This window comes from Homo sapiens, chromosome 1, assembly GCF_000001405.40.
Source record: "Homo sapiens chromosome 1, GRCh38.p14 Primary Assembly".
NCBI lineage: Eukaryota > Metazoa > Chordata > Mammalia > Primates > Hominidae > Homo > Homo sapiens.
In genome coordinates, this window is record NC_000001.11 from 169,509,698 (window position 1) to 169,525,391 (window position 15,694).

At 37.0% G+C, this 15,694-nt stretch overlaps 1 protein-coding gene across 1 annotated transcript in view, besides 1 other annotated feature; it reads right to left on the reverse strand.

Annotated features, from left to right (window-relative positions):
• Window positions 1,041-1,241: a silencer, noted in NCBI's record as "peak447 fragment used in MPRA reporter construct". NCBI's record gives its function as "represses an SCP1 promoter by STARR-seq MPRAs in K562 erythroleukemia cells {active_cell/tissue: K562}" and the evidence as "EXISTENCE:reporter gene assay evidence [ECO:0000049][PMID:32103011]".
• The window catches only part of F5 (coagulation factor V), a 74,531-nt gene continuing 61,090 nt past the window's right edge, over window positions 2,254-15,694 (reverse strand). The window contains exons 19-25 of the mRNA NM_000130.5: window positions 15,140-15,211; window positions 14,104-14,207; window positions 13,500-13,655; window positions 10,823-10,967; window positions 8,715-8,866; window positions 5,747-5,929; window positions 2,254-4,762 (exon numbers count right to left, since the gene is read on the reverse strand). Of these exons, the coding sequence (NP_000121.2) occupies window positions 4,616-4,762; window positions 5,747-5,929; window positions 8,715-8,866; window positions 10,823-10,967; window positions 13,500-13,655; window positions 14,104-14,207; window positions 15,140-15,211 (959 nt within the window). The 3' untranslated portion in view covers window positions 2,254-4,615. The remainder of the gene's footprint in view (window positions 4,763-5,746; window positions 5,930-8,714; window positions 8,867-10,822; window positions 10,968-13,499; window positions 13,656-14,103; window positions 14,208-15,139; window positions 15,212-15,694) is intronic.

Genomic DNA, 15,694 nt, shown 5'->3' on the forward strand with positions numbered 1-15,694 from the left:
TAACTTTTATGTGTATTTTACTACAATTTCTAAAGAGGTAATGAGCAGTATTAAAAAGCATTAGAGAATAGTAGAAATTAATATTAGTAATTAATACCATTATATTCATAGTATATCATATTTTCATTATAATGCTAATAATAAATACTGATAGAATGCTTACTATGTACCAATACTATTGCAATCATAGAATTATAGCCTTTGTCACTATTTCTCCCAGTCTATTCATAAAAGAAAAGCTTTTTAAACATTTTTACTTGTCACATCTGTAAACAAGGTTGCCACATTCCAGACTTTCAGAAAGTCTTTTTAATCAGCAGGAAGGAACTTCAATACAAGGTGGAGATAACTAAGACGGTAAAGCCATTACCAAATTTCCTGTCAATAAAAAGCAGGTGGGGTATGAAATTAACTGCACACCATTCCTAAGACATTGAGAAGCTTCTTCTAAGTGTAAAACATGAAAGTACAGATGAGGTAGAAGTGGTTTAGATGTGGACCAGTGGTAAAAATAAAACCATCGCATAAGAACTTTGAACTCTTGTCATTGTCCAAACATCCTCAATGATTGTCTCATCTCTCCATTAGTCAATTTCTCACATACAACATACTTTTACCCGTCTTCTCCCCACTCCAGTGTCATTCTCCTATCACCCTAAGCAAGTCAGAATCCTGTTCCTCATGGGCGTCTTCTATAATATTTCCAAAGGTGACCCACTTTTAATCTGGTCACTACCATCTGTAATTCACGATTTGGAGATTAGGGATATGTATTGTATCTGTTTTTGTGTCTTTCCCCACCCTCACATCATCAGTTCTACCCAGGTAATTCTTATTTGTTTTGACCTTGCACATACACTGGATTTATGGGCATGGTACAGGAGATGGAGGGAGGTGGATAAGTCATTATTAGACTATATAGAGAGGGTAGGGAAAATGAGTAGGTATGTCAGAGAAAGCTTAACTGGGCCCTGAATTTGAGCATAAAGCTCTTATTTATCCTGGTTTTTATTGATCCTTATCCCAGTCCTCTCTTCTCTGGAGTTCTGCACAGGTTGCCTTCATACACATCTAATATCAGATGACCTAGGTTAAATCATCTCCAAAAGTTTTCACAGTCTGATTCCATCCCACAAGGCTACTCATCTAATTGTCTTTTTCTTTACTACTCAGGGTGTAATCTGTTAGGCTTAATAGGCTCATAGTGTCTATTTGCTTCTTATGTTTGTCTTCTCTATGCAACTAGATGATGTATTTGAATAAGCCAGAGAAGTGTCTTTTATTTCCTTTATATACTCTCCCCTACAATGCCTGTCATAGTGGTTTGCTGTGTCGATAGAATGAGCTTAATACTTTTTAAAAAATTAAAATGATGGTACATGTAGAGAGGTTAATATCAAGTTTTCTTTACATGTACCAAATGCAAAATACATGTATATGTTTTGGTGGGGACAGTTCATACAAGCCAGAGATAATAAAATCTTAAAGCTCTGTAGTCTCTCCCAACAATTTAAGTACTTGGATATGAAAAACCTTGTTATCTGGGCATTGACCATGTAAATATTATTCCACACATAATCATTTTGTCTTTGTCTACAGCTTTCCCTATCTCTAGGCTATGAGAATATATGAACTTGGGAGAATTAGGCATTCAGAATTTTCCATAAAATACTTCTCCATTAGGAAATATAAAACAAGAAAAATGCTAACATGGAGCTATCAGATATTTTTAAGTATGTGTTAGGCCCACTGCATTGGGGCATGTGCCAATATTTCGTAAAACCAAAATTCACTGCCTAGTAAATTGTTCCTTCCTGGTCTGTCCAGAGAAGTAAATGGTGAAATATTCATGGCTCTTGGGAACATCCAAGCTATTTGGCAAGAGCTTTTCCCTGGGTTTGCCAAAATGGCCCTGAACTCAAAATATGGTGTTTATTCAAAATGATTATAAAAATGGCATGAAGTTTGTTATTTCTTTTAATAACTTGAAAGAATTCTGGAGAAATAATTTCATGTTTCTTCTAGTCCTTTCATATTTTTGATACATTCACAGCTATTCTTTTCCAAATTGCAATTAGAATGACTAATAATGTTTAGAATTTTATCTGTTGGTTTCTCTTAAGTCATGATTCTACCGTGAGTCATTTAACTTCTTTCCAAAGCACCCAGTTGTAACAAACAGTGGTTTATGTCACTGGAGACGTACTATGTAGTCAAACTTGTAATTTCATCTAAGTGAGATCAGAGAGAGAAATAAAAAGTGGGTATCTTTTTTATTTCAAAATAACAGGGGTTTTAATATTTCTACACAGCATTAGATAATAGCCCAAACATATTATTGATCCCCAAACAAGTATTTTCCAGATCAATTAATAGTCATTATCAATTAATATTCATGTCTACCTGTCTGAGCAATGGATTAGAAACATTATAAGTTTCATTTTATGGAAGAGAAAGCAGACTAAAAGTCTAGGGATATGATCATTTGGTTTCTGGTTTCAGTTCTGACACTAACAAGCAATATCCTTGGGCAAGTTGTTTAATCTTTGGGGCCTTATTTTTCTCAAGTAGAGAATAACGAAGCTGGATCTCATGCTCCATTCCCATCTCTTCCCTACCCCCCATTATTTCATAAGATTTTCTTGCCCCTATTATGCCTTAGTAAATTCTAGATCAAGAGAGATCCTGCCCAATTTCAGAGTAGAGAAGCCCAGGACTAGCTGCGTAATTTGTGGGGCTCATTGAAAAATGGAAATGTCGAATTCCTTCTTAAAAAATAAAGGATTTCAAGAGGGTAACTGCAAAGCATTAAATTTAGCATGCGGTCCTTCTGAGCATGTGACCCTTTGCAACTGAACAGATCACACACATCCAAGAAGCTGGCCCTGTAGAAAACAAAGAAATGTTTTCCCCCACCTTCCAACATTCTCTTTTGCTCTTAACGGAATGGAAATCTTAGAAATGTTGATGGGACAATGACATGAATCATGAAAAGAAAGGAATAGTGGGAATACGAATATTAGAAAGCCAATGTTTTGTGGATGTTTGAAACTCTCATATACATTCATAGGGCTTACCCCACTGGTATGGGCAACAGGTAACTCTGGTAGTTTCTAAAGATGCTCCCAGTGAATTATGCCTCCTGGTATGTGGTCCTTATGCAGTTCCCTTCTACACTGAATCGAGACTGGCCTGTAATTTGTGTTCACAACGAATAGAATGCAGCAAAAGCAAAGCCCTGTCTCCTAGAGATTCTGGTATGTTGTCTCTTTGTTCTCATTGGTTTTAAGGAACTTATTTATTTCTGCCTTAATTTCATTATTTACCCAGTAGTCATTCAGGAGCAGGTTGTTCAGTTTCCATGTAGTTGTGTGGTTTCGAGTGAGTTTCTTAGTCCTCAGTTCTAATTTGATTTCTCTGTGGTCTGAGAGATTGTTATGAATTTCGTTGATAAAATTTTATATATTTATGGTATACATAACATTTTGATATATGTACACGTTACAGGATGATTAAATCAAGCTAAGTAACAAATCCATAATCTCACATAAATTTTTTTTGGTTGCTCTTTTAACACTAAGTTTTGGGGTGGTTTATTTCAGACACCCCAAATGACTGTCTATCTCATGTGATTTTAAGGATGTCTAAAGGTTCCCCAGTTGTGCAATATCTACAGGATCACTGAATGCCAAGTCCCCAGGGAAAGGAATGATGAAAGGGGAAGTTGCTGGAAGAAGAGAGAGGAGGAAGTTGAGGCCATAGAGAGGAAGGCCCTGAAAGAAAACTTTAACTGCTTGCCAGTTTGGCCAGAGGTCTCTTTGAGCAGGAACAACTGCATTTAGACCAGCAGTTCCCATGCTCTGTTTTACAGGTCTGAGCTTTCCAGTAGGTGAAATTATGTTTTGAAACTGTGTGCCATGTAGTACCAGCTAGAATAAAGCCAACATTACACATTCAGTTCTACCATGGTTATTTCAGTTCTGTTCCATATCTAATGACCACCAACCTTGAATATCAATGTGTGCAGTCCTTAGGGAGACCAGGACGGATTCACAATTTCAATGGGGCTACTGGAAAGATGCTTGGCTGTTTTTTTACTCATGGAAAGTCAGAAAAATCATTGTTATATGGGAAAGACAGGATATTTTAAGTACTTATTTCATTTGATAATATTGTTTTTCTCTTCACTCAAGAAAAACCATTAAAAAATCATGTGTTTGTGAAAGTTATCCAGGTCTATCAATTATTATTTAAAGTAATATCTGTTTTACTAGTGTGTAAAGGATTTAAAAGAGTTATAATGAAGCATTTTAACTACATAAATATTACTTCATAGCATTTTCAATCATTAAGAAAGATAAGCCCTTTTCTTGTTGGTTCTTGATATTTTCCTACCTGTATTCAAATTAATGCAGAAGTAATAGCCATTATCTTACTTACTGGTAGCAAGGAGTTACATTATAAAAGCTTCTTGTATAAAATTTTATTCACTAATAGAAAAGAAAGAGAAATAGTGGAAAACTGTTAACATTTAACACAGCGTAAAATACATTGCCCATTCTAAATGGTTTGAGGTCTTAAAGAGTCTCTTCCAGGGGTTTTTGAATGTTCAATTCTAGTAAATATCACAGCCAAAGAGTTCCAGGCGAAGTGCAATACTTTGATTCCATGTTTTAGGAATGACACGGATAAACCTGGAAATGATTGGGGGGTTGAAAAAGTTCTTCACATGTCCTTTGGTATTAGTATTTCCTTCAAAAATCTGAAAGCCAAATAAGAGAAAATCTTTAATGACAACATAAATGGCTAAGGTTTTTTGTTTTTGTTTTTTTTTAGACAGGGTCTTATTCTGTTGCCCAGGCTTGAGTCCAGTGGCACAGTCATGGCTCACTGCAGCCTTAAACTCCTCTCAAGTAATCCTCTTGCCTCAGCCTTCCAAAGTGCTGGCATTGCAGACATGAGCCATCATGCCCAACCCAGAAAATTTTTTATCCTATTAGCTCAAAATGAGCATATCAAAGAACACATAGAACACTCTCACAGAGATGATCCTCTATCAGTTATGAAATCACATGCCAGATAGATTTCATCTCACCAGTGATCTGACTTAAATTAGTGAAAAATAAACAAGTCTCACATGGTGCTGTGGAGCAGCTGCAAAACCATTTCTGCCTTCAGCCCGTCTGTATTAGCTGTATGACTGAACAAGTTACTTATTCTCTGATTCTTCATTTCCTCATTGGCAAAATAAGGATAATAACATTTTACCTCACAGAAGTCATTGTAAATATTTAAAAATGTATGTCAACGTAAGTGCATAGTAAGTGCCAGGAAGTGGCCACCAATAAATGTTTGACTATTGCTAACATTTAAAATGTGACCATGCATTTTAATTTATTTATTCTTGTTGGCATGTACCTTATATCCTCAACTAAAGTGTATAACTTTCCCCCTTCCATCATCAGCAAGTTCCCCAAGGTTTACACACACCAGAAATAAAATCACTCTTTTTTTTTATGACAATGATATTTATCCTCCTATGAGGGCAACCTGGTGTAGTGAGAAATAAAACAAACCAAAACAGACAACCAGGAGTTTGTCTGAGACCAGGCACCTTAAGAACTAAGATTTAGAAGACTTAAAGAGGTGGTACATGTCACTGCATATTTGTCAAATGCAAAATACTGTTATTCTCATTATAGCACAGTCTTCAGATTGCTTTCTCTTTGCCCAGATGCCACTCTACCTTGTCCACCATGGAGGATTTCAGCCTGTATGGTTTCCATTCCACTCCCTGCTCACTGTAGTGGATGGTATAGCTCTTTACATACATTTCAGAGGACAGAGACTTGCAGCCCTGTGTTATAATTGCCGTTATCTTCTTGATCTTGAGTAGATCAATTTCTAGCCACTGCTTATTGTTGTTTGCCTATGAAAATGACAAAAACACATAGATAAGGAAGATGTTAAAACCTTTGCTTTTTTTTTAGACCAAGTTATGCAAAAAAGCACAGAGCTCAAAAGGATTTTGTTCTATCTTATCCCTTAGGATTCACAGTCTCCTAGAAGCTTTCCCTCTTTCTTCTTCATTGCCACAATATGTGTGTAAATTTTTATTGAAGTATTTCACACATTGTACTATAATTGTTTCCTTCTTAGCATTCCTTACTGCTTAAGGGTAGAGGCTTATTTCATTTTGTTTCCTGGTACTCACCACAATGTTAAGACACTCAGTTGGTGTTCAATAAATAGTTGTTGAATAAATGAATGAATAAATGAGCTTTATTTGGAAAAATAATTAAACTGCTAAATTATCTGTGAATATTATTTTCTTAAGCAAATTTCTTTAAATACTCTGGTAATATTGCTGCAGGGTTATCTGGGAAATAATTGGATAGCATTCTCTCTCTATTTCACCTGTTTTACAAAACACAACTTCTCTTTCCCCCTGTTAATGTCAAAGAGCAGAAATAGTTCAATTTCTTCTAATATTTCAAATAAATGTAACATTTGAGAGACCTGATAAAACCATAAGTAGAGCTTGATACACAGTACAGTTATTGTCCTGTCTCTGGCCTAACAAAATGCCTAATCACATGGTTGGTGATATGTGTTTGGAGAAAGATCAGAAGGTCTAAACTGAGTTTTAGAGTCATCTAAGATAAATTTTTACCTTTGGGAGATTTATCGTCTACCATAACCTCATTCAATTCTAAAGGAAATAATATTGATATGTTTCTTCAACATCACCCACACATACATAAGTGTATGTGTATATATAGGTGTATGTGTATATATGTGTATACACAAAAATTCACATGCTATATGTATTTTAAAAGCAAATTAACTGAATTAGAATGATTATATGAGAAAACTTTTAAGTCTATAACATCCTCTAGTGACATCTGGGTGGTATCTTAGTGTGTCTTCATATCAAGGTTGTACCAGTGATGCAGAGTATAACCAGCTAGAGGTTTTCACAGGCATAAAAGAGGTAGAGACATTTTAGTTATGGAGAGAACAGCATCTATGTGCATCACTGCATATGTCCAGCTTTGATTTTCAACCTCTCTAAAGAGACCATATAAAGACATTTCATGTGAATGGAAGGGGGTTAAGTAAAACACATATTTCTGATCCCGAATTCTAACTTTGAAATGACACCATTAAAAATTAGCATTTTATCTTTGAGGCCCTTGTTATATCACAAAGACTAAGAGCAAATTATAGAGAGTGCAAATTTTTTTAAAAGATTGTAAAATGAAGTATGGAGTGACAAGGTTATACCATGAACAAGTCTAAAGAGTCATCTGAAAAAGAATTGGATAACATCTCTTTAATTATTATTTATATTGCTATGTAAATTATATAAATGTAATATAACACTATTTTTATTATTTTAACTTCTCTGGGTGTCAGCTTTGCCCTCTGCAAAATTGCAAAATGAGGTATTTGGGCTGCTTCAAATGGTGGAAGGAGCATGGCCTGTTTACTGGGAGAATGGGATTCTAGTCCTGATTCTGCTACCAAACTAAGCTAAAATTATTTAATCTCCTGTGTATTTAGAATTAAAAGGAAAAATCTAGACCAGATGCTTTGCTCCTTGCTACTGTAACATTCTGTGATTCCATATTGGGCCAGAATGAGTTTCAAGACACAGATATCAGTTCCCAAGACTGTGTGGAATCCAATCTTTTCTATTTACGCCACCAGCACCACAATTCTTTTTTCCTTTCTAGTGGCCTAATTTAAGGATAGGCCCTGGAATTCTATAGAAAGCCAGGAAATTGGAGTGTAGGTATCTTAAGGGAGGGAGATATGAGGATAGAAATTAGGGAATTTGGATTTAGTTGGCTGAAGGGATCATCAAGTTATTCATGCCATTCTGATATCTCAGGTCATTTAAAGAATTAATAAAAATGAGTCAAATATTAAGAGTTACCCCCAAATTAAATCACCTGAATTACTCAGTGGGCTAATATCAGGGACAGTATAACTCTCTGGAAGGTGTTTGTTTAACTTAGATCACTGATTTTATAACTCTGGTTTTGCAACATTTTACTATGCTTCTAGTTGCCTCAAGGAATATCACAAAGCTCTTAAAATAAGGAGGGCGGGGAAGAGAACAAAAAAGTTTAGATGACATTTCATTTAGGAAAATGAAAAAATATTGCTAAATTGTAAAGAAAAAATAAGAGATGATGTTGCAAATCTAAATCATTTTTTTATCACTAATGTAAGCTGTCTAAATGAGGAGTTGGCAAACTATGATCCATGGGCCAAATTTGGCCCGCTGCCTGTTTTTTGTAAACAAAGTTTTATTAGAACACAGCCAGCTCATTCATTTACATATTGTTTATGGCTACTTTACTGCTACAATGGCAGAGTTGAGTAGTTATGGCAGAGAATGTATGGCCCACAAAGACTAAAATATTTACCATCTATCCCTTTGCAGAAAAATTAATTTGCTTATTATTGGTTTAAATCAAGACTAGACCAAAAACCACAGAGATGATAAATGACTTCTCTCTGAGACAAAGTTATAGTCAAAGCTATCAAGTCCACAGACATCCTGGACTCTTGGACCTAGGATTTTAATCTGCAGAAACAGATTAAAATACTCCTGCTTCCCAGATCCTCCATGTTTGTGGTAGTGAGGGCCTTTGCTTTCTTCTGGAGCCCTAAGAGAACACCATGCATAGAGTATACTTGACCTTGGCTTGCCAGGCATTCACACGTCCCTGGGCATTCAGACGGGCACGGAAGGGTTCCCAGTAATCTCCCCACCAAGATTTCTTAAACGAAGAAGCTGTGATTTGCTTGTTTTCTATCTTTCCATTTTCCATACCCAGGGGTGTGGAACATCCTATCAAAAGAAAAGTAACGTGATTAATTACACACCAATATTCCCTGCATGGCTTCATGCACTGCAGAGGAGATAAGAAATAATATTACTACCAACAAATGACAAAAACAATAACCACAACAATGAAGATTTATTGAATCCAAGTGCCAAATACTGTTCTCAGGCTTTACATGTATTATATAATGCTCATAAATATCTCCATTTTAGTACAGCCAAAACACAGTAACTTGTCTAAGGTAACACAGCCACAAGAATCAGAAACTGAATTGAGTTCAGACAATCTGATACCAAATACCATGTTCTAAACATTTAAACTCACTTCCTCCTTCTGAGAGTCTTGGAAACTTTGGTCTTTGCTTTCAGGTGACAATAATCCTAAATTATCTATATATAAAAATACTCTGTTTCTTCTAACAAAAGCTACCAAGAAGATACAATGGACCCTCAGTCACTATTTAATATTTTCTGTTTCAACCCTTAGAGGGTAATTCGAGTTATGTACCCTTTGGAATTTTTCCAAGGTGTAATTTGAATATCATAGGCAGCAAGGCAGACCTGTGACTGTAAGAAACACAGCTAGTGAGTGAACCTGGCTGACCACCCATCATCTCTGTGACACTTTGTTCTTGTTGGTAAATCATGCAGAAATTTTCTTGAAGTGATGCCTTACTTTCTCCATGAAAAAAACAAAGGGTCCTAAAAATAATACCCACTGCTAATAATTACCTAAGTATCAAGAAAATGAATAAGAAGAAAATAATGCTTCTTGTATAAAAAATAGATGTTTTAAATAAGTTAGCAGAATTGAATGTCACATTTTAGGGTAGTTTATTAGGATCTGAACAAATCTATTTATACCATATGGAAAGAAAAAAACGCAATGACTTATGGAACTGTTTCAAGGAGTGGTCCTGCCGATACAAGATCTGTGTTTTATTTGGGAGATGTTTTAGACTACTGCTATCTGGACATTGGCAAAATACCCATATCCATCCAAGGGTATACTGTGCCATTATCTGCTTCAACAGGAAACTGATTCCAGGTTTCAGCTACTTTCTCCATTGTGAATCATGGTGGCTTCTCTCCACCCAAAGGGAAGTACTGCAACTCCTGACAGGTGTGCCACGGCAGGTTTCTAGTGCACCTATTTATTGATCCCTCTTCCCACCTCCAGCCCTTCAGCAGCCAAGTGGGGCCTGGATCAGCCAAGCCTTAGATTTATTGCTTCATTCTTTTACCTCAGAATGCCAGGCAGATATTATTTTCTTTGTGTGCTTTGAAGTAAAAAATATTGGAAAGCACTGCTTTAAGAGTCCAAGAAGAACAGTTAAGACTCTTAAACATCCTTGCTATATATAGTAGAATTTTATTATGACCATTTATGATTACCTGGATTTATTTATACCACAGGTCACATTACAGCCCCTGAGAAATAGCAGCTAACATAGAAAAGACTTGAGTACCTACACAGGGTATGAAAGAAAATATAAAGAAGAATTGTGGTTTCAGGAAGTTGGGAAGCCAATTCAGATTTCAAAAACACTCATTGAACACCATATATATGGCAGTGATGTTGCCAGATACTGTCATGACATTGAAGTTTGAGTGACCTGAGGACTTTGGAAGAGTCAGGCCTAGTTTGAATCTCAGGTAGGTCTTATTGAAAATGGGCTGATGGAGGTAATTCCAAATTAGAGCCCTTCCTTGGAGAGTTGTGATGTGTCTATATAATCCAGGCACTTTCTTCACAGAGATGCTGTCGGCACTCTGATTGGCAGAACCATTCTTGGTCTAGATCACACTGAGAGTTTACCTGAGTAGAACCTCTGTTTCACAAAGGTTTTCCTAGGAGCCTAAGTCACTGAAAAGAACTAAAAATTCTACTCATTCTCCTATACCTCCCAAATCTTGATTCTTTGAGTGGCAGTGAGAAAATAATGCATCTTTGTACCTTACCATTTACCTCACAACCTTGCAGTTCCAATCGAAGGGTAGGTCTGTTATAGGCTCGAGTTGGAGAGATCCTAATATATCTAGCCACAATAGGTGGGTCAAACTGATTCTCTTTTATTGTAGAGGCATCTGAATTGCCATTAAAATACTAGAAGAAAAGAGGAAAGTTTAGTTATGTAACAATGATCTATAAAGTGACTTTATATTAAAATTTTGATCTAATTTAATATTGTAATACTACATTTTCATGGGGTCCAAACTAAATCAATTTGGTTATAAAATATACTTGGGGATAATTCCAGTTCCAGGAAGATTGTATATATGTACTTTGCCCTATTCCTCCTGCTAAGTACAACTAAAAACTTTGGACATTATAGCTCAGAGAAACATAAGACCCTGAAAAGAGCTCAGAAGACAGACTGGCTAGGGTTCTCGGAAGGAACAAAATGGTGATCAGTGTCTTGAATTTTCTTTTTGCCTCATAAATCCCAGACTTAGAGATGAAGAAGCCGGCAACCTGGAAACACCAATGAGTACAGACTGAAAAAGCCCAAATAAAATCTGCTTTCTCTAACCAAAGTACCAGTAAAGGGCAGCATAGCGAGATATGATAGAAAACTGGTGGACACTGACTTCTGTCCTTTAGTCAAACACCACAGAAAAACCTGAGGCCCCTCCCCAACCCACAACAGCAAAGGCTGAATGGGGAGCCTAGACTTCTATGCTCCTGAGGCTAAAGAGGCACCCTACACCCTCACTGGGGTTGTGTCAGAAAAGGCCATGTAGGGATTTAGGGCTTTCATCTCCAGCCCCTAATGAAGCTCCTGCCCCTGCAGTATCAGTGGAGGCCAAATGGGGAACTTCCCTTCCCACCCAGCCACCAAGGAACAATCCCTTCTTAGGTGGCAATGGAGTGGGGAACCTGGACTTTGACCCCCACTTGGCAGTAAACAGGCTGTGCCCTACCCCTTTTCCTGACAGAGCAATGTCAGAAAAAGCCAACTTTTTAAAACAGAAGATTGGAGCAGGTATCGGTAATACTGAAAACAGAAAAACAATAGAGAAAAATCAATAAAACAAGGCTGGTTCTGTGAAAAGATTTTTTTTTTTTTTTTTTTTTTTTGAGACGGAGTCTCACTCCGTCACCAGGCTGGAGTGCAGTGGCGTGATCTCGGCTCACTGCAACCTCTGCCTTCCGGATTCAAGCGATACTCCTGCCTCAGCCTCCCAAGTAGCTGGGATTACAAGTGCACGCCACCCTGCCTAATTTTTTTTAATATTTTTAGTAGAGAGGGGGTTTCACCATGTTGGTCAGGATGGTCTTGATCTCTTGACCTCGTGATCTGCCCACCTCGGCCTCCCAAAGTGCTGGGATTACAGACGTGAGCCACTGCGCCCGGCCAAGAAGATTTTTTTAAAATCGACAAATCTCTAGCAAGATTCACACAAAAAAGAAAGGAGGGGCAGATGACAATATCAGAGATGAAACAGGCAAAATCACTACAAACATGAAAAAGGATAAGGGAATATACAAACAACTCTACACATATAAACTTAACAACGTAGAGGGAATTGACCAGTTAATTGAAATATACAAAGTATTTCAATTCACCCAATATGACATAGATAATTTTAATAGCCCTGTAACTATTTAGAACATAGGATCTGTAATTTAAAAACTGCCCAAAAAGAAATCTGCAGGCCCAGATGGTTTCACTAGTGATTCCTACCAAATATTTAAAGAATTATTACCAATTGCAGACATTTTCTCCTAGAATGTAGAAAAGAGCATGCTTACCAGTTTTATGAAAGCTAGTATAACTGTGGTATCAAAAACAGAAAAAGACAATTAAAAAAATAAAACTATATACCAATATCCTCTCATGAACATAGACGACAAAATCTTTATGCTATGGACTCAACTGCAATCTGTGTTTTCTCTCATAATACTGATTAGTAAGAACCATAATTTAGGATTTCAATGGTTCTGAGACATAGTATAAATAATTATTAAAAATAGGTAACTAATAAACAGTAAATAATTTTATATAAAATATAAGCAGAAACAGACTCAAGGTTATTGGTATAATAATGGCAGGCAGACTCCTTGCATTCAGACTTCTTTGGGGAAGGGAATAGAGAGGAGGAGAAGAGTTAGGGCTTATGGCTGAGCCCCTGGAAGAACCAGAAGGAGAATGTCATTCCTCAGGCATGGCCCCCCAAAAAGTCTGAGAATCACACTGCCTCAGAGGCTTACTAGCATTAACACTACTATTTACTTCAGGTACACTGAAATAAAGAACAAAACAAACTACAATAGTAAAATCAAAAGTCTTGGTAGCCAATTTTTAGCATGAGCTCCTTGAGGCGCAAGACCAGATGTTCTACTCTGCCGTATACCATTGGCCAGTCTGAGAAATCTGGGTATTTTGTTTGATGATAAAATGATTTTTTAAAGTTTTGTGGGGTTTTGAAGTTTCAGTAACCCTGCTTCTCTCTTTAATTTGTAAGACACAGACCTATCATATTACTGCTTTTCTCCATATGACCCTTAGAAAGCCATTCACATTTCTAATACCCAGAAAGGTATTTTTTAAAATACATAATCATTAGGTATAGTCATAATAATTCTAGGCCAAGTCTAGAGTCTAGAGATTCAGATAGAAATATGCACACAAACCATCACATTCCTTGTGCTGTTCCCTTTGAAGATCTGCCAGTTGATCTGGTTGGAACTGTAAGCTACATAGAACTCTGTGGTATAGCAGGACTTCAGGTAGTGTTTGGCACCTTGGGTCTGGATCCCTGTGATTATGACTTCCTTTTGCATGTCCACCTGCAATATAGGAAAGCCAGTAAACAGAACTGTCCTTGTCAACAAGTCACACACTGCCTAAATTCATTATACAATCAGCTTTCTTCAGAACTAAAGAGCTAGCACATAAGATCTTAGCAAACTGATACAATGACTACATGCAATTCATATTTGGGCACAGAGTACCTAAATTTGAATCCCAACTCAATGACTAATTAGCTGTGTGTTACTTTGGGAAGGTAGGTAGTATCTCTGTGCCTTTTGTTTTTTAATCTATAAAACAAGATATTATTAGAACCAACCTCAGAGGGTTGATTTTAAGGATATAAAGTACTTAGAACAGTGCCTCACACTTAGTACTTGCTATTTCCCCTAACAACATTGCAAGAACAATAACAAGGAATTACTAAATCACTTTCATTTTTATTATTACGATAGCAGTAAATATTATCAGTCTATTAAGACAAACCTGGATCCAAGGTTTAGAGGCAAATTCTGCTGCAAGTTTTTCTACACTCCAAGCATTATAAGATCCACCATTGTTTAATCTTGCTAATCTGGGCTCCCAGTAACCTAAACTCAAGGGAAGAAAAAGATTTATTCTGAATTTTTTAAAAACCCAGCAATTTCTCAAGTGAGTTTAATCCAGTGGAAAACCAGATCCTTGGAGGACCTGTGTTGTAGTCAGGAGTCTAGGCATGGGCCTCAGCTACTAGGCCAGTCCTTGATGATGAAATCTGGGCTTCAGGTCTGTGTTTGGTCAACTGCCAACCACCTCCTATCCCCTTTCTTGCACACAGGTCATGTTTGATTTTTTCTGTTGTGTTTATATTCCTAATGCTGAATGTGCCTGCCTAACAGGAAGACATGGAAGGGTATATGGGAGCCTCATCATCCTCTTGATCATGACCTCTTGATCTTGGGAAGGGCTTTGAGGCAGTGTGGGAAAACTTTGGAGGAGTTCCTCACATATAGTGGAGGTTCAACAAAGTTTTCTGAATAGATGAATGGTTGCCACAGGCAAAGGGCCATATTAATGGGGACTATAATGCCTGGCTGATAAGACCCTGTGAATCTGGCTGAAATACTACATGTGTGGTCAAACCCAGAAAAGATGACTGAGGAGAGTTTTGGAAATGGGCGCGTGGTCATAAGAGTAAGGTATCTGATCCTTGCCAAATCCCTGCAGAGAGGCTGGGCTTTTTATGTAGAGAAATCAATGACCCCCAGCTATCGGTTTTTCCTGGAAAAGACTCTTTGGGATCATTATACACCAGAAGAGGTGGCAGTGTTAAGAGCACACTAACAGGCCTTTAGCTCCTACCATAGTGTTCCTTCCTTTACCATATATGTACCCCAAATGGAGCTGCTTCACTACATTGTAGTAGAGAAAAGCATAAAGAGAAAAACTGATTCATAGATAGGATTGTCATGTATGGTTTCATAGGCTGCATGCTGCACAACTGTAGGGGGTACCATTCACAGACCATGGTGCTACAACTTACCCAGAAACTCTGAAGCCTTGATCTGTGAATCAGATATGATACCAGTGCTTAGTCCCATTGGCATCCTACAGTCTATGAAAAACAGAAAAAAAATGAATAATTTTTGCTTAGAAAATATATACAATAAAGTAAAACTCCATGGTTAGGGATTATGTTTCTGACTCAATAATTAGATATTTTTACCTACCTTGTGTGGCCCTGACTTAAATATATCTGATTATAAAATGGTAAATGCACTAACAAGACTGGTGCTTTAATAGATATAGTGGCATCCTAGAAGAAAGCAACTGAAATCCTGAAATGTAATCATTTTTTAAACTGATTTTCTTCTGCTTTTATCTTAAATTATGCTATTTTACAACATTAGGTACCATCCATGGCCAGGTGCAGTGGCTCATGCCTGTAATCCTAGCACTCTGGGAGGCCGAGGGGGGAGGATTACTTGAGGCCAGGAGTTTGATCTTGGGCAACCTCTTCTCTACAAAAAAAATAAAAATACAAAATATAAAAATATGAAAAAAAGTTCTAGTCCTGATGAGACTATGTTCTCAAAAG